This window comes from Homo sapiens, chromosome 10, assembly GCF_000001405.40.
Source record: "Homo sapiens chromosome 10, GRCh38.p14 Primary Assembly".
NCBI classification, from domain to species: Eukaryota; Metazoa; Chordata; class Mammalia; order Primates; family Hominidae; genus Homo; species Homo sapiens.
In genome coordinates this window covers 132,608,007-132,626,508 of record NC_000010.11, presented here as the reverse complement: position 1 = coordinate 132,626,508, position 18,502 = coordinate 132,608,007, and the positions used below count along the sequence as shown (strand labels likewise).

At 53.4% G+C, this 18,502-nt stretch overlaps 1 protein-coding gene across 6 annotated transcripts in view, besides 2 other annotated features; it reads right to left on the bottom strand.

The window, feature by feature from the left end:
* Positions 1 to 18,502, bottom strand: part of INPP5A (inositol polyphosphate-5-phosphatase A) — a 245,694-nt gene that overhangs the window by 156,972 nt on the left and 70,220 nt on the right. The gene's annotated exons all lie outside the window — the stretch shown is intronic.
* Positions 3,258 to 4,457: an enhancer, noted in NCBI's record as "BRD4-independent group 4 enhancer chr10:134435556-134436755 (GRCh37/hg19 assembly coordinates)". NCBI's record gives its function as "activates an origin of replication core promoter dependent on BRD2, P300/CBP, MED14 and CDK7 cofactors, and independent of BRD4, by STARR-seq in HCT116 cells {active_cell/tissue: HCT116}" and the evidence as "EXISTENCE:reporter gene assay evidence [ECO:0000049][PMID:35650434]".
* Positions 17,905 to 18,406: an enhancer, noted in NCBI's record as "H3K27ac-H3K4me1 hESC enhancer chr10:134421607-134422108 (GRCh37/hg19 assembly coordinates)". NCBI's record gives its function as "activates a minimal SCP1, AML or CMV promoter by ChIP-STARR-seq in naive H9 embryonic stem cells {active_cell/tissue: H9 hESC(naive)}" and the evidence as "EXISTENCE:reporter gene assay evidence [ECO:0000049][PMID:30033119]".

Below are 18,502 nucleotides of genomic sequence, written 5' to 3'. Positions count from 1 at the left end.
CGAAAGGCAAAGGACAGCACCAACTGTGAGAGACACATGGAGTGACCAGGACTCCCACCTACTGGCTGCAGGCGTGACCAGGCACCTCACCTGGGCAGCTCCTTGAAGCCTTCAACACACACCCACCCTACAGCCAACAGTCTCCCTGAGGAATGGACCCAGGCAGAATGAAGGCGTGTGTCCCGGGAAGCCTGCGTGTCCACATGCACGGCAGCTTTGTTTAACCAGGCGAACCTGGATATAGCCCAGGTGTCACCAAGGGGAGAGTGGGGAGCGCAGAGTGGGCCCCACACAGCAGGATCCAGGACCAGTGCTCGTGATGACAGCACTGAGCCACAGTGTGTGACAACACGGAACTGGCTCAACACACTAGCACAGGGAAAGCAGGCGGGTGCCGCCACGTTCCCTGGGTCTCAGCGTGTGACGTTCTGGAATGGGAAAAACGGATCTGTGGTACCCGAGGGGCGGGGCAGCAGGGAAGAGGAAGATGGAAATTCCCCATTATGTTGGGGCGGGCACTATACAGGTGTGCGCATTTGTCAAAATCGAAGAAACATGCACCAAAGATCAATATATTTTACTGTGTATAAACTACCTCAAGTTTACAAACACTGTACACACACACACACAAACACACACACACACACACACACACACACACACACACAGAAGTCCTGCCAGCCCTTGCAGAGAAGCAGCCTCAGGTGAGTGGGAAGTTGGGCCAGGCAGGATGGCACCTCCCCCTCCAGAACCCCCTGCTCCGTGCAATGCCCAGGGCCAAGGCACGCCCCTGACCTCAGCCAAAGAAAGGAACTGAGAGTCACAGGGCCCGACCTTGGTCAGGAAGCCTCAGGACTGGCCAGGGGTCACCCCTTGCCCCTGCAGCAGAGGCTCCCATGTCCCCGGGCCTGCCCTTCAGTGCCCCTCAGCCAGCTGCCGGCCAGTCTGAGACCCCTGTGCCTCAAGGGGCTCCCAAAGCCTCCCCTCCTAGTCTCATCTACCCACTCCCCAGCTGGTTTTTCCTGCACCTCCCAGCTCAACTGCTTTCACTGGAATCCTGCCTGGGGTGTGTTTTGGGAGACCTCAAACCAAGACATGAATATTTATTGACTGCCTCCCTCCCTAGCCCAGGCATTGACTCAGAAGCTGGGAAATCATACAGTAATTCAGAAAGACACAGGGCCACAGAAAAAGATCCTGCTGAGAAAGGGGTGTGGGGTGGGATGACAGGAGCGGAGTAGGGAAAGCCTTGGGTTGAGCCACGTGAGGGGGAAGGACAGGGACAGGCAGGGAGCAGAGGTGCCGTCAGAGGGAGCGGTGGCCTGTGCGAGGTCCTGAGATGGCAGAGCAAGGCCAGCTGGAGGGAGGGAAGGAAGGAAGGAGGGAGGGGGAGGGGGGAGGGAGAGAGGGAAGGGGCGGGGCCTCCAAGGCTCAGCCTGTGAGAAAACTGAGGCAGGAGCAGGAGGCCCTGCAACCAACCAAGGAGAGTGGACTGTGGCGTGGGCAGGGTGGCAGCAGGGACAGTGACCAATGCCAGATGCCAGGGAGCCTCTGAGGGTGGCGGGGCAGCACCTGCTGACAGGTGCGATGCCACATGGGAGAAGAGGCAGATGCCACGGTGTGGGCCCTGGCACCGGCGGCATGGAGCTGTGTCAGCCAGGAGGGTGACACTGTGGGGCAGGCCAGGGCGGGGGTGGGGTGTGGAGCAGAGGACGGAGAAGCCCCTCTGGACATTCTAAGTCCGGCAGGCCACAGGGCATCCAGGCAGCTGGAACCAAGAGTCTGGAAGGAAAGGAGGGGTTTGGGTTTGAACAGAAAGGTGGGGAGTCCTGAGCATGTATGGAGGTGCTGAACGGGCAGAGACCACGGCCTACATGCCAGGCACCAAACAGGTGGGAATGGGAGGAACCGCACAGAAGACAGGAGCTGCCAAAGGGAAATGCACATTCCCCAAGTGCAGACACGCCAGTGGGAAGTGCAGACACGCCGGTGGAAGTGCAGACACGCCGGTGGGAAGTGCAGACACGCCGGTGGGAAGTGCAGACACGCTGGTGGGAAGTGCACGTGCCGGTGTGAGGTGCAGGTGTGCTGGTGAGGGCGCGCCGGTGTGAAGCACGGGCATGCCGGTGTGCAAGTGGCACCACAGCCAAAACAGCGAGCTCACACTTCAAACTCCTTCAAAGACCCCAGGCCTCTGTAAGAACCGCTCATCTCTGTGCCCACAGCTCCCCCGCTTCCATGTGACCCAGAAATGGAACCACGCAGCAGAGGCGGGGATCACAGGTGAAGCAGCTGTGAACATTTGCTTCAGGCTTCTGTGCAAACAGGCGCCATCATGTCAGCCGGTGAGCAGGAGCAACGTGCGTGGGTCAGGGGGTGGCCACACGTCCAACTTTATAAGAAATGACAGATTCCCTGATGGCCATAGGGATCTGCAGGGCCAGCAGCAGGCATAGGACTTCCGGTGGCCCTGCGTCTTCATCAACACTGAGTATTGTCAGGGTTTCTGTACTGTTTTTACAGCCAATTGAATTTTAGCCAGTCTAATAGGCACGTACTGATTATGTTGCTGTAATCTGCATTTCCCGAAAGACTACTGAAGCTGAGCACCATCTCAGGCACTTACTTGCCATTTGTATTCTCTTCTTCAGTGAAGTATCTAGTAAAATTTTTCAGTTATTTTAAAATTGGGTTCTTTGCTTTCTTATTATTGGCTTTTCAGAGTTCTTTGTATATTCTAGATACAAGTCCTTCATCAAATATGTAATTTGCAAATATTTTCCTCCAATCTGTGATATGTCTTTTCATTCTTTTCACAGTGTCTTAACAAAGAGCAGAAGTTCCTAATTATGATATATTTGAATTTGCCAATTCTTTTCTTTTATTAATTGTGCTTTTGCTGTTGCATCTAAGAAATCTTTGCCTAATCCAAGGTCAAAAAGATTTTCTCTTAAGTTTCCTTCTAGAACTTTTGTACTTTTTAAGATTTATATTTAGCTCTAAGATCCATTTTGAGTTAATTTTTGTGTATGGTATAAAGTATTAAAATTCTCAACTTTTTGCATATGGATGTCCTATTGTTCCTGCACAATTTGTTGAAAAAAAAAAAAAACTGTTCCTTTCTTTAACAAATTGCCTTTACCCCCTGGTCAATCCTAACTGTATGTGTGAGTCTAGTTCTTAATCTCTTTTCTGTTCCACTGATCTGTATTTCTGTGCTTTTACAAAGAGCACACTGTTGTGATTGCTTCAGCTTTATGGTATGTCTTGAAATCTGAATATAAGCCCCCAAACATTAGTATGTTTTTACTTTTTAACTGTTCTGGCTATTCTAGTTCTTTTGCTTTCCTGTGTATATTTTAGAATAATCTTATAGAGTTCTACAAAAAAAAAATCCTGCTGAGATTTTGGTTGCAACTGCACTAACTCAGTAGATTGGTTAGTGGGGAATTAACATGTCAGCGTAACTGAGTCTTCCAATCCACGAACACGGACGGTATATTTCTCAAGTTCTAACACGTCACCGTAACTGAGTCTTCCAATCCACGAACACGGACGGTATATTTCTCAAGTTCTAACACGTCAGCGTAACTGAGTCTTCCAATCCACGAACGCGGTATATTTCTCAAGTTCTAACACGTCAGCGTAACTGAGTCTTCCAATCCACGAACGCGGTATATTTCTCAAGTTCTAACACGTCAGCGTAACTGAGTCTTCCAATCCACGAACGCGGTATATTTCTCAAGTTCTAACACGTCAGCGTAACTGAGTCTTCCAATCCACGAACGCGGTATATTTCTCAAGTTCTAACACGTCAGCGTAACTGAGTCTTCCAATCCACGAACGCGGTATATTTCTCAAGTTCTAACACGTCAGCGTAACTGAGTCTTCCAATCCACGAACGCGGTATATTTCTCAAGTTCTAACACGTCAGCGTAACTGAGTCTTCCAATCCACGAACGCGGTATATTTCTCAAGTTCTAACACGTCAGCGTAACTGAGTCTTCCAATCCACGAACGCGGTATATTTCTCAAGTTCTAACACGTCAGCGTAACTGAGTCTTCCAATCCACGAACGCGGTATATTTCTCAAGTTCTAACACGTCAGCGTAACTGAGTCTTCCAATCCACGAACGCGGTATATTTCTCAAGTTCTAACACGTCAGCGTAACTGAGTCTTCCAATCCACGAACGCGGTATATTTCTCAAGTTCTAACATGTCAGTGTAACTGAGTCTTCCAATCCATGAACATGGTATATTTCTCAAGTTCTTTATATCTTCTCTGATTCTTTCATCAGTGTTTCAAACTTTTCAGTACAGAGATATTGACATATTTTACCAATTTATACCCAACTATTTCATTTTACTGCTATTGTAAATATTTTTTAAGTCTCCAATTATTGATAGCTAATGTAAACAAGATGTTTTCATACTGACCTTGTATGTTGAAAACTAAATAAATCCACTTAATAGTAATAGTAAAGTTTTATGGATTCCTTCAGTTTTTCTAAATAGTCCACCATGTCTTCTACCAATAAAGTTCTATTTCTTCCTTTCAAATCTGTATGACTTTTGTTTCCTTTTGTGAAAGGAAAATAAACCTTGGGAACACAGAATCACTAAGCCAGTGGGAAAAGTTAAGCTAGGAATTGCGTGAGGCAAACCTGCCTCCTATTTTATTCCTAAATAAGACAGCTACACAGATTTAAAAAAAAAAAAAAAAGACATACCCCCCTCACGATTTTCCCACAAGGTAATTCCTTATGGACAAAGGACAGACAGAACTCAAAGTCATCCCTCTGAGGCTCCTCTGGGACAAACGCATGACTGATGGCTTCCTCTGCCCTACCACTTCACTGAGCCAGACTAAGGCATAAGTGATTATTCCTCTACCCCCTCACATGTAAACTGTGTATTCAGTAAAAGGCTAATCAGAGACTCAAAAGAATATGACCCTTTGTCTCTTATCTACCTGTGACCTGAAAGCCCCCTCCCCTGCTTCAAGCGGTACCACCTTTCCAGAACAAACCAATGTACATGAACACACACTGAGGCCTCATGTCTCCCTAAAATAGATAAAATCAAGCTGTGCCCCAATCGCCTTAGGCAACATCATCAGAACCTCCTGAGGCTGTGCCACAGGAGTATTCTTAACCTTGGCAAAATAAAATTTCTAAATTGGTTGAGACCTGTCTCCAATATGGTGTGTTCACACTTTCTTGCCCTATTGTGCTGGCTAAGTCTTTTAGTACCATACTGCATGGGAGAAGTAAGATCAGGCAGCCTTGCCCTGTTCCCAGTCTTCAGGTAAATAAGCACTTCCTCTATCACAGTTTAAGTGTGGCATGAGCTGTGGGGCTCTGTAGATAGATGCCCTTTACAGGCTGAGAATGCTCTTTTCTATTCCTAGTTTGCTAAGAGTTTTTATCAGAAATGGTTACAGAATTGTGTCAAATGCGTTTTCTGCATCTACTGAGATGATCATATGGCTTTTCTTCCTCAATCAGTTGACATGGTAAATTCTGTTGATTGATTCTTGAATGTTAAACCAGGCTTGCATCCCTTGATTTACAACATTGAAAATAATTTTTGCCTTTATTTTCATGGGGAATGTTGGTTTGAATTTTTCTAATGTTCATATCAAAGAATAATTCAAAAAGTATCATCTGTGACTCAGTCTTCTTCTAAAGGCTCTGTAGAATTTCTGTTGTTTCTTGTTTAAATATAGAATTCACCAGGGAAGCCATCTGGGCTGGGAGGGTTTTTGTGGAAAGGTAATGGGCAAATTTTTAATTGAATAGATATAGGACTATTGAGTTCATTATTTCTTCTTGATACTTTTGTTTTTCAAAAAAAAAAGTTTCTTTCATATAAAATTTCAAGTTTATTGGCATAAATTATATTAATATTCCCATAACCCATGATATGCTTTAGCAAAGAACTTGGCTGCATTCTGTTTATGCTCTAGAGATCAATGGAAATTTGAAGCAAAGAGTGATGATTTAGGGTATCTGATGGAAGAAATTTCTAAGCAGCAAAGTGCTCAAGAAAGATGTGGCCTGGCTGCTTCTAACAGCCTACACTCAGATGTGGGAGCAAAGAAATGACTTACAGTTGGAACTTACATTTAAAAGGGAAGCAGAGCACAAAAGTTTGAAAACTTTGCAGCCTGGCCACATAGCAAAGAAAGAAAAAGCTTTCTCAGGAAAGAAAATCAAAAAGGCTGTAAAGCAACCACTTGCTAGAGATATTTGCATAACTAAAAAGGAGTCGAGTGCCAACAGACGAGACAATGACAAAAAGGCCTTGAAGGCATTTCAGAGACCTTTGCAGCAGCTCCTCCTGTCACAGGTCCTGAGGCCTAGGAGGAAAGAATGGTTTCATGGGTCAGGCCCAGGACCCTGCTGTCCTGTGCAGCTTCAGGTCAGTGCTCCCCACATCTAGGTTGTTCCAGCTCCAGCCTCAGCTCAAAGGGCCCCAGACACAGCCCAGGCTGCCATTTTGAAAAATGCAGGTGTTAAGCCTGTAGGTGCACAGAATGCAAGAGTGAAGAATGCTGGCAAAGTGCAGTGGCTCACACCTGTAATCCCAGCACCTGAGGTGGGTGAATCACTTGAGGTCAGGAGTTCAAGACAAGCCTGGCCAATATGGTGAAACCCTGTCTCTACTAAAAATACAAAAATTAGCCAGGTGTGGTGGTACATGACTGTAATCCCAGCTACTCAGGAGGCTGAGGCAGGAGAATCATTTGAACCTGGGAGACTGAAGTTGCAGTGAGCTGAGATCATGCCATTGCACTCCAGCCTGGGTAACAGGATGTATAAGAAAACCCAGGTGCCCAGGCAAAAGCCTGCTGCAGGGGTGCAGCCCTCACAGAACCTCTATAGGGGCAGTGTCAAGGGAAAATGTGGGGTTAAAGCTCCCACAGAGAGTCCCCAGCAGTGCACTGCATAGTGGATCTGTGAGCAGGGGGCCACCATCCTCCAGATCCCAAAATGGTATATCCACTGGCAGCTTGTACCCTGTGCCTGGAAAAGCCACAGGCATTCAACTCCAACCCATGAGAGCAGTCCTGGGGGCTGAACCCTGCAAAGCCACAGGGGCAGAGCTGGTCAAGGCCATAGAAGCCCACCCCTTGAGCCTGTGTGCCCTGAGTGTGGGACATAGACTCTGAGGAGATGATTTTGGAGCTTTAAGATTTAATAGCCGCCCTACTGGGTTTCAAACTCGCCTGGGGGCTATAGCCCATTTCTTTTGGCTTATTTCTCCCTTTTGAAGCAGAAATGTTTACCCAATACCTATATCCCCATTGTATCTTGGGAGAAAATAACTTGTTTTTGATTTTGCAGGTTCATAGGTGGAAAGGACATGCCTTGTCTCAGAGAAGTCATCAGACATGGGACTTCTGAGGTGAGTCAAGACTTTGGGGGGACTATTGAGAAGGGATGATTGTATTTTGAAATGTGAGAAGAACATGAGATCTGGGAGGGGCTGGGGCAGAATGATACAGTTTGTATATTTGTCCCCGGCCAAATCTCATGTTGAAATGTGTCCCCAGTGTTAGAGGAGGAACCTGGTGGGAGGTGTTTGGATCATGGGGGCAGATGCCTCCTGAATGGACTGGGCCATCCCCTTGGTGATAAGTGAGTTCTTACTCTTGAGTTCACATGAGGTCTGGTCATTTGAAGGTGTGTGCACTTCATCCCCACTCGCTCTCTCTTGCTCTGGCTTTCACTGTGTGGCATGGCTACTCCCCCTTTGCCTTCTGCCTGACTGAAAATTCCATGAGGCCTCCAAGGGCTGAGCAGGTGCCAGCACTAAGCTTCCTGCACATCCTGCGAACCGTGAGCGAATTAAACCTCTTTCCCTCATAAATTACCCAGTCTCGGGTATTTCTTTACAGCAAAGCAAGAATGGCCTAATACACTCTTCTTCCATGTTAGCTGGAAACAGACACTGCCTATCACATCATTCTTAAAATTACCATCAGGAAAAACTGTGAAAGACTTTAAAATGAGCAATAATGAGAGTGCCTCCATTTAGCTCACCTATTTGGGTTATCTCTACCTTTAGTTGTCTCTGAGCTATGTTGCAACTCTGTGAGTTTAAAAGCTGATGATGATGGAAATGATTCTTGACCACAGAAATGCACAATGTCCAGCAGATGTGATGGATCATGACCCTGTGGACAGTGCCAGCCTTGCATCCGTGAAGCACACTCATGTCAGTACTGCTGATGGGAGAAGCTATTTGCCTACATTCTGGATTCTTCCCTGAACCAGTTCTACATCTTACTGGGTCTCTCCCTGATAAATAAACAACATTTATTATCTCAATTTAAAACTCTATTTTTAAAATAGGTATTTAAAGTGAATAAGTACCTATTCATTTTATATTTGCATGACAGACAACATTATATCCTGTTTTAAAATTTATCCTCATTCCCACAAGCAAACTTTAAACTACCTCAAGGTCCAACAGAAAAACAACTTTAAAAAATTAAGGCCTAACTATATCATAAAATATTCTGAAGCTATTAAGATAGACAGCATATATTAATTCACATAGAAAGATTTCCCAGCTTACAAAAAAGGCAGAGAGAGTAAGCTGTACGCACATGTGTCTGCTGCCCACTTGTGGATGACCCACTTGTGGACTGCACACCTGCCCACAGCCACGCAGGCAAACACATATGATGGGGTGTGCATCATGCTGGAGGCAAAACTGGGGAAGGAAAGAATGTTTATCCTTTTCTGCTTTGATCAGTATCCTCAGACTTCTGTGTGGCAGGCAGTTGCTCCACACACGCCACGTGCCAGACGCAGTCAGGTGCTCGGTGAAGCAATGCACAGATAGCCAGAAGCTTCCACTCCATGTACTGTCTTTGTCAACAGGAAGAAGGTCACAATGGATGTCCTGGCTACCTCACCTGCAGTCTGAGGATTCAAGATCTGCACTGGCCACACGAGCAGGTAACAGCCGCTCCTCCACACCCTTCAGGTGTGGCTCACAGGAGACCTTCCCTCTGGGAAAGGGGTCCTCCACCGCCTCTCACCCAGGCAGTGAGCGTGTGTGAGTGTGAGCATGCCCACGGCCGGTGGACATCCCTTCCTCTCGTCCCTGCAGTCACCGGAGGGAAAGCTTCTTGTCCTTAGATCAGACCAGGAGGCAGAAGGGCCCTGAGAGAGCCACAGGGTGGCTTTGCCCCAAGCCACACTGCACAGGAGCTCTGAAGGGCGGGGACTGTCTGCTGAGCTGCCTGCAAAGAGCCAGAGCCCAGGGCCAAGCAGGGTCTGTCCTGGCTCTGCCTCAGCCTGTGGCTTCGTGGCTCCCCACCTCAGCTCGTCACTGGGAGACCAAGAATCAATACAGCCACCAACCAGGGCGCGGTGTTTGAGGAGTCACCAGATGATGGAGGGAGAGAGAGCCTGCAGAATCTTCCTACAGGTGAAGGCTGCGGGGCTGGGCTGGGACATGATGCCGAAGCTGCAGAAGCGGCCTGCATCTGACCCCAGGGAGCAGACAGACCCAGGCTGCTTCGAAGGACCTCAGGCGGCCTCTCCCCACCAGCGCAGCAAAGCAACTGGCCAGCACGATGGCTCCACAACCCCCAAACATCCTCACTCCCAGAACAGACTGCCCAGGAGCTCCTGCAGCGTGAAGCTGGCCTTCCTCCCTGCTGCATGGTGCCACTCGCCACTGGCCAGAGCTACAGGAGATCCAGGACCCCATATCCCCCACGCCACGTCCCCCATCACCACATGACACATCGCCATGTCACCATGTCCCCCACACTGCATCCTCCACGCCACATTACCACACCACCTCCATCACCACCACACCCTACCCTGTCACCATGTCCCATGTCACTACCATGTCCCATGTCACCACTGCAACCCCAAAACCACATCCCATGTCACCACCCCATCCCCTATCACCAACACACACTATGTCACCACCACGTCCCATACACCATGTCCCATGTGACCACAGCATCCCACACACACCACATCCATCAGCACCACATTCTACACCACCACCACATCCTGCGTCACCACCATGTTCCCAATACCACATATCCCACACCACGCCCACGGCGTCCCCGCACGCCACATACCTCACACCACGCCCACGGCGTCCCCGCACGCCACGTGCCCCACACCACGCCCACGGCGTCCCTGCACGCCACATGCCCCACACTGCACATCTGCCACTGTGGTCCTCCCTTGGATGCTTGTTCACAACCAACAAAGCACAGGCACCTCCCACTGCAGCTGCCTCCCACGCCACCCTGTGGTTCTTTCAGGGCCCGTCTGCCTCCCGGTCTGACTTAAGGACAAGAAGCTTCCCCTCCAGTGGCTGCAAGGACAGGAGGAAGGCATGTCCACTGGCCATGGGCATCCTCACGCTCACACACATGCTCCTAAAACGACGCACACGACCATCCCTCACCGCTCCCCACAGGACCCGGAACCGGCAGCTACAGAGGGTGAAGCCCATCACCACTAAGAGGGGAGGCCCCTGTTCCCCAGGCCCAGGGCCTCAGGTGCCAGGCCCACCAGGCCATGAAGGTCGCAGCCTCTCAGCTGAGAGGCTCAGCTGCACAGCTTTGTTTATCCCAGCCGCCCAGAGCGGCAGACACCCCCTTGCCCCAGCCTGGGGCCTCCCAGCCCCTCAGTCTCCAACCAGCTCCTCCACCAACCCAGTGCCTACACTCCACTGACCCAGGGCCCACTCTGTCCTCAAAGCCCGCCCCTTCTCCTGGGTCTTCTTAGCTTCAAGCAAGGGTGCCCACCTCAGTCCCAGCTGCCCACTCTCCAGCAGGGCCAGTTCCTACCCCAAAGACGGGGCCCTCAAGCAAAGGGGCCTGCCCAGCTGCTTCACCAGGGGCAGAAATGCAGCCGCAAAGCTGTGTGTCGAATGCAGGCTGGGTCCCACCCCTTCGGTCAAACCAAGCGCAGTGAACTTCCAGGTTCCGAGAGTTCAGGAGCCTCCCCGCACCCAGCAGCCACTTCCTCCAACTCCACTGAGCAGCGGCCACGGGCCTTCACCCCAGATGCCTGGGGGTTTAGAAGGAAACTCGGTGGGCCAGAAAAGTCACGTGTGAAAGCCACACAGAAGTCTTCCTCATACAGCATCCCATGTGCTTCCAGGGTGCACATTTTTTAAAGGCTAAAACCAGCAGTTGCATCCTGAGCTGGTTCCGGACGCCACACTTGGAAGACAGGCAAGGAGTATGGGAAGCTTCTGAGATGAAGCCCTCCATTGTGGCCCACGGGCTGCGGGCCGCCACGAGACAGTGCTGGGAATTCAGAGCAACTCGAGACGTGGATCGGGCCACTGTGGGGACAGAGGGCAGCAGCTCCAGGCCCAGACTCGGGGCTCCCTCTTGCCCCACGCACCATCCCTCCATCTGAGTGCAGCCTGGCATCCCCCAGCAAGCGTTCTTATCGGGTCCTCCACACTGACCCAACGCTGGACGCGTCACGGGAAGGCGTTCTCTTCACTCAGGCTGCGGCAACAAAACACCGCAGCCTGCGGGGCCTACGCCACAGACGTGTGCTCCACAGGGCACCTGAAGCTGGGAGGATAAGAGCGAGGCCAGCCCATTCCACGAGGAGGGTCCACTCTTCACAGACGGCACCTTCTTGCCGTGTCCTTGTAGGATAGAAGGGGTGAGGCAGCACTCAGGCCTCTTCTTTCAGGGCACTGATTGCATTCATGGGGATGGAGTCCTCTCCTTGCGATCTCATCGGCCCCCAGAGCCAGGCCTCCTGAGGCCACCACCTTGGGGGCAGGATGTTAACACAGGAATGTGGGAGGGGCCATAAGCATTCTGAAGACAGCAGCGGGGGCTGGCTCCTGTGTTTGGGGCCTGAGCCCCTCCTGACATAGAGAAGATTCTGGAACCCCTGGTGATGAGTCTGTGAGTCTGATTCTCAGGAGAGAGGACGGAACCTGGACGGGTGGACAGGACAGCTGAGGAGGCCAGCACAGGGTGAGCCCAGGCTCTGCAGCTTTGTTTATCTATTTATTTTTTTGAGACAGGGTCTCACTCCATCACCCAGGCTGGAGTACAGTGGTGCAATCTCGGCTCACTGCAACCTCTGACCCCTGGGTTCAAGCGATTCTCCTGCCTCAGCCTCCCAAGTAGCTGAGATTACAGGCGCCCACCACCATGCCTGGCTAATTTTTTGTATTTGTAGTAAAGACGGGGTTTCATCATGTTGGCCAGGCTGGTCTCGAACTCCTGAGCTCAAGTGATCCACCCGCTTCGGCCTCCCAAAGTGCTGGGATTGCAGGCATGAGCCATCGTGCCGTCCAGGCTCTGCCTGGGGACTCAAGACTTGGGAAGGCGTGCCAAGCTCTCCAGTGCCAGGCTGAGTTCTGGACCTAATCTTCGAAAGCCGTGGGTCCCAAAGGCGTCGAGGGTGCTCACGACTGGCGATGGAGGCACACACAGGCTTTTCTGCGCTGTCTCCTGCACTCTCTACAGGGATCAAGTTTTACAGAAAGGGTTTCTAAAAGACCATGAAGATCATATTTAGTTCTTCCCTATATAAAAGCCACTTCTTCAAGGCTATTTTGAAAAATAATTGTATAATGGAAACTCTAGGATTTAAAAACACCCGAAACAGTCAGAGGCCCAGTGTCGAGGCATCTCATCCACCCCTTGCCCTTGAGCTGCTGGCACAGTGGGCTCTGGTCATGGAGACCACCAGGTGTCTGATCCAGCCCTGGCGAGGCCCACTCACTGCCAGAAACCCACCAGCCCGAGGCCCCTCAGTGCAGCCGCTGAACTGGCTGATAGCCTAAGAAACAAAGTCAGGCTAAAACAAGCATGAGAGTGGGGATTGGCATTGAAATCGAGAGTGGGGATTGGCGCTGAAATCTCACTTTTGAGAATTCTCTGTTCTAAGTGTCACTGAAATTTCTTCCTTCTGAAGAGGTTTTTCCAAGAAAACCAAGAAAATTTGGTTTTGCAACCAGGAAAAATGACACACTGCACAGAGCAAACCATCATTCATTATTTTTCTTTACAAATGACTCTACTGTCTTTCATAAAGGCTGAGTCTCCAGAAAGGACGCCAGGTGCTGCTGTCCACCTCCAAGAGCCCTGCCCACCTTTCTGTCAGGTCCCACAAACCGCCCAGCAGGGCCTCTGTTCAGTGGGGGACTCGGGAAGGAGGGGGCCCTGCGGGGGGACTCGGGAAGGAGGGGGCCCTGCGGGGGGACTCGGGAAGGAGGGGGTCCTGTGGGCCGTGGCGTTCCAGGGGCTGCAGGTCACAGGAGGAACCACCTCGCTCAGAACTCACTTCCAGCACCACTGGCGAACTCTACTATCAACGCTCACAGTAACTGTTTAAGCCATAAGTAAAAGAAAAAAAGGTAAAAGGGAAAGAAATGAAAGAAATGGGACATGTACGTGGGGATTCTGGGCGGCCTGAGCCTTGGATCTGAGGTCTGTCAAGTTGGGGTCTTGCCGCCTGCTCCCCAAGACTGCCCTCCCCCATGGCCTCTGGTGCAGACGGTCCCACACTGAACAGGCTGCAGAGACCCGAATGCGCGGGAACTGTCCCTGCTCCATGGGACAGAGCAGCCAGGACCCATCCCCACTGCCGGCCCCTCCTGGATGCGCCCAAAACCCAAAAAGAATTCCAACCCCCACCCCACTGCCCCAAGGCCTCCATCTTAAAAGAAAACAAACAAAAGCTTGAGCTTAACACACAGCTGTTGCTGCCAAAATGTAACACAAACCAGGAAGCCTAGAGAGCGGACATGGGCTCCAGCCACAGCCCAGCCCCTCACAGCCGAGGGCCACGCACACGGCCAGGCAAGGGGCAAGGGCCCCTCCAGCCAGCGCCACTGTCCCAGATCAGCAAAACCAGCAGGGGAACCGGGCCTCAGCCCAAACCACCATCAGCCAGCTTGGAGCAGCCCTAGGAGTGCCAGGCCCCCTGCACAGCCTCCCCAAACTCCCAAAACAGGCCCCCTGCACAGCCTCCCCGAACCCCCAAAACAGGGCACCTGCACAGCCTCCCCGAACCCCCAAAACAGGGCACCTTCACAGCCTCCCCAAACCCCACAAAACACAACATCACAATTCTAACTCAACAGGACAGAAAATGGGAAAGAGAGGCTCACCATGTGATAAGACACCATTTCTCTACCACAGGTCTTGTCTGACAGGAGCTGTCCCATGAACTCCTCACCTCCCTCACCCTCCTCTGACAAGGCCTCTCCCCTGCCCACCTCACCTCCCACACCCTCCCGACAGGGCCTCTCCCCTGCCCACCTCACTTCCTCCACCCTCTTCAGACAGCGCCTCTCCCCTCTCTGACAGGGCCTCTCCCACGAACTCATAACCTCCCTCACCCTCCTCTGATGGGGCCTCTCCCCTGCCCACCTCACTTCCCTCTCCCCTCTCTGACAGGGCCTCTCCCCTGCCCACCTCACCTCCCACACCCTCCTCTTGACAGGGCCTCTCCCCTACCCTCCTCACCTCCCACACCTTCCTCTGACAGGGCCTCTCCCCTGCCCTCCTCACCTCCCACACCCTCCTCTGACAGGGCCTCTCCCCTGCCCCCCTCACCTCCCACACCCTCCTCTGATGGGGCCTCTCCCCTGCCCACTTCACCTCCCACACCCTCCTCTGACGGGGCCTCTCCCCTGCCCTCCTCACCTCCCGCACCCTCCTCTGATGGAGCCTTTCCCCTGCCCACCTGACCTCCCTCACCCTCCTCTGACAGGGCCTCTCCCATGAACTCCTCACCTCCCTCACCCTCCCTGGACAGGGCCTCTCCCCTGCCCACCTCACCTCCCTCACCCTCCCCTGACAGGGCCTCTCCCCTGCCCACCTCACCTCCCTCACCCTCCCCTGACAGGGCCTCTCCCCTGCCTACCTCACCTCCCTCACCCTCCCCTGACAGGGCCTCTCCCCTTCCCACCTCACCTCCCTCACCCTCCCCTGACAGGGCCTCGCCCCTTCCCACCTCACCTCCGTCACCCTCCCCGGACAGGGCCTCTCCCATGCCCACCTCACTTCCTCCACCCTCCTCAGACAGGGCCTCTCCCATGAACTCCTCACCTCCCACACCCTCCTCTGACAGGCCTCTCCTCTGCCCACCTCACCTCCCTCACCCTCCTCTGATAGGGCCTCTGCCCTGCCCACCTCACCTCCCTCATTCTCCTCTGACAGGGCCTCTCCCCTGCCCACCTCACCTCCCTCATCCTCCTCTGACAGGGCCTCTCCCCTGCCCACCTCACCTCCCTCATCCTCCTCTGACAGGCCTCTCCCATGAACTCCTCACCTCCCTCACTCTCCCCTGACAGGGCCTCTCCCATGAACTCCTAACCTCCCTCACCATCCTCAGACAGGGCCTCTCCCCTGCCCACCTCACCTCCCACCCCACATCCTCCTCTGACAGGGCCTCTGCCCTGCCCAACTCACCTCCCTCATCCTCCTCTGACAGGGCCTCTCCTCTGCCCACGTCACCTCCCTCCCCTCCTCTGACAGGGCCTCTCTCCCCTGCACTCCTCATCTCCTGAGATCCTCCTGATGCTGACCTCTCCTTGTCCCAATCTCAAAAGACCCCTTTCCAGATGTTTTTTCCTGTTCAGGCCTCAGCTGTTCTCCAAGCGATCTGCCTACATCCTCATCCCAAACCCAACCATAAACCCTGGAGAACAAGAGCTTCTTCAGTTAGTGAGCAAAGACACCAGCTCCAAACCCTGCAGCAGATGCAGCTGTCTGGATGGTGAGGAGCAGAGCAGAGAAGCTGCCACGGCCCAGCCTGTGGGTGCCTGAGCATCAGTGGGATGTGGATGGCTGGGCCCAGCCGACCCAGCACTGGGTGGTCCCCACGCTGGCCAGCATAGGCTGCAGACCCTGGAGCAGCCCCAGGTCTCCCCACCACACCTGCGCCCTGCAGCGAGCTGGCTGGGGCCACACGCCAACGTCCACTGGCAGGCCCTCTGGGTTTTTTGCAGCTCTCTGTGCTCAGGTCACATGTCCCAGGGCCAGCACCTCGCTTGGGAAGTCCAGCACATGGTCCAGCCTGAAGAGAGCCCACCAGGTGTGCAGGCCCGGAGCTAGGCCCGGGGCAACCCCTACTTCCTGTTCACGAACCGCCCCCCACCCCCCACCCCCATCACTGGGCTCCACAGAGCTGCAGGGGCAGAGGGGACCCAGGATTCGGGGGGCCACGCACACAGGGAAACAATTGCCAGGGGCTGGAGCGTGGGGACAGGGGCTTCCTCCACATCGACCTTTCCGGTCCCTCACAGGTGGGGCTCACGTGCCCCTCCATGAGGCAGAAGAGGCCTTTGGAGCCCCAGGTAGAGCCTGGCCACTGCCTGGTGTGAGGAAGCCCAGGGTTTGTTGGGAGCTGTTGCCGGGACCTCGGTGTCCGCCATGGCTGCACTGTACCATCAGGAACTGCGGGTCAGGCCCAGCCACTGTAAACGTCTCCTAAAACTCTGCTCCTGCGGGGCTGCCGCTGGCTTGATTGGGACAAAATTTAAATATAATTAAAATAAAATAAACCAAGAAAAAAGCGGCAGACAGGCCAGGTGCGGTGGCTCATGCCTATAATCCCAGCACTTTGGGAGGCCAAGGCAGGCAGATCAGCTGAGGTCAGTTCAAGACCAGCCTGGTCAACGTGGTGAAACCCCGTCTCTACTAAAAATACAAAAATTAGCCGGGCATGGTGGCGGGTGCCTGTAATCCCAGCTATTTGGGAGGCTGAGGCAGGAGAATGGCGTGAACCCGGGAGGTGGAGCTTGCAGTGAGCCGAGATCGCAACACTGCACTCCAGTCTGGGTGACAGAGTGAGACTCCGTCTCAAAAACAAAAACAACAACAACAACAACAAAAGCAGCAGACAGTTTTCAAAAAGGAAAAACACCAAAACACAGGGGCAGATTCTGATTTCAGCTGTGTAGGCGGCAGGTTCTGCTCCTTGCCGGTCACACACACCTAAACATTCAGTGAGGGAAAACCTGTGGATCCCTGGAGGGGAGACACACCAGGAGAGGACGAAGGTTCTGCAAGGATGTGGGTCTCCCCGACAGGCACACGCAGCAAGACCCCACCTCACAAGGCAAACCCGCCCCCGCCACTGGCCCCCGACGTGCGGTTGACATAAAGGACAGAGATGATGAGAGCACCGTGGATGGGGGTGGCACGGCAGCTTCAACTCCTGGAGTGTCCTCTTTCTCCAAGTGAGCGCTGAGCAGATGATGTCACACATTACAGCTAAATTCATCATATCTATTATTTCGATTTGTAAATATATGTTTTCAAAAGGGAAAGATGTCTCTCATTTGCACATCTGACCAAAGACTCTACGGAGAGAGATTTATCAGGTCCCTGTAGAACAATGGCTTCCTCACCACATAGGTGCTAAGCACACACATGCGCACACACGTGCACACACACGCCGTTGTCCCTATGGGGGGACTTGGATGCCGGCTACAGAGCACCATTGCATGCTGGGAGCCTCACCACATGGGAGCACTGGCAGGCAGGACACAGGCCCGAGGGCACAGAGGTCCCCAGCCCTCCTGGCTGTCCCAGCTCCACCTCTGGCCCAGCACCTCAGGCCCAGGTCGGGCCACCCCCCAGGTCCCACACCCCCATGCCCTCACAGAGGGCCCCTGGGCCTCCACTCTGGCCTCCCCAGCCCATCTCCAATCAGCAGCCAAACACACCTGAAACAGGATTTCAGTCCCGGGCTCAGCCCTTGCGTGGGTCTGAGCATGTGAGCAGCTCCACCGTCCAGGCCACCCCATCCTGAAGCTGACCTCACCACCAGCCCCTGGAGCCGAGCCTGGCCACCGTCATGCCCATGGCCACGTTGCCCTCCTCGCCTGCCTGGCCTCCCCCATGCACCCAGTCCTCAGAGAGGCCTCTGGCGCCACCCCACAGGCACACATGCTCGGCCACAGGCCCCAGGTGGCTCCTTCCATGAAGACCTGCGAGGGCACCAGCCTGTCTCTTCACAGTGGCATCTGCAGCGTCCACACCAGAGCACAGCACAGTACCGGGCTCCATAAACACCGGCCCCATATTAGACAGGGGGGTCCGTGCCTCGGCCTGGCAGTGCCAGCCCGAAACCCTCCAACCGGTCGCCTCCCCCAGCCCAGCACCCACTCTCTGCACAGAGTGCGCTGCACGGACCGGACCTGGTGAGGAGCACACCCAGCCTCGCTGCCAGCTCTCCACGGCCCCACTGGGGATGCTCACCCAGCCCTGGAGGGAGCCCCCAGGTTCTCTGATTCTCTGAACCCCGCGGGGAGCGGGGAGGGAGCCGGAATGTGAACAGTGAGCCCGAGGAGGATCTGGCCAGGCTCACCGGCAGGCGGGCAGTGGACCGACTGTGACACAGAAACATGTTGCCCAGCACAGGCAGCGGAGCCGAGAGACCCAGCCACAGCCCAGGCCTGCGCTCCCCATAGACACACCAGACTCCATGGAGGAATGCCAAAGCAAAAAGGCAC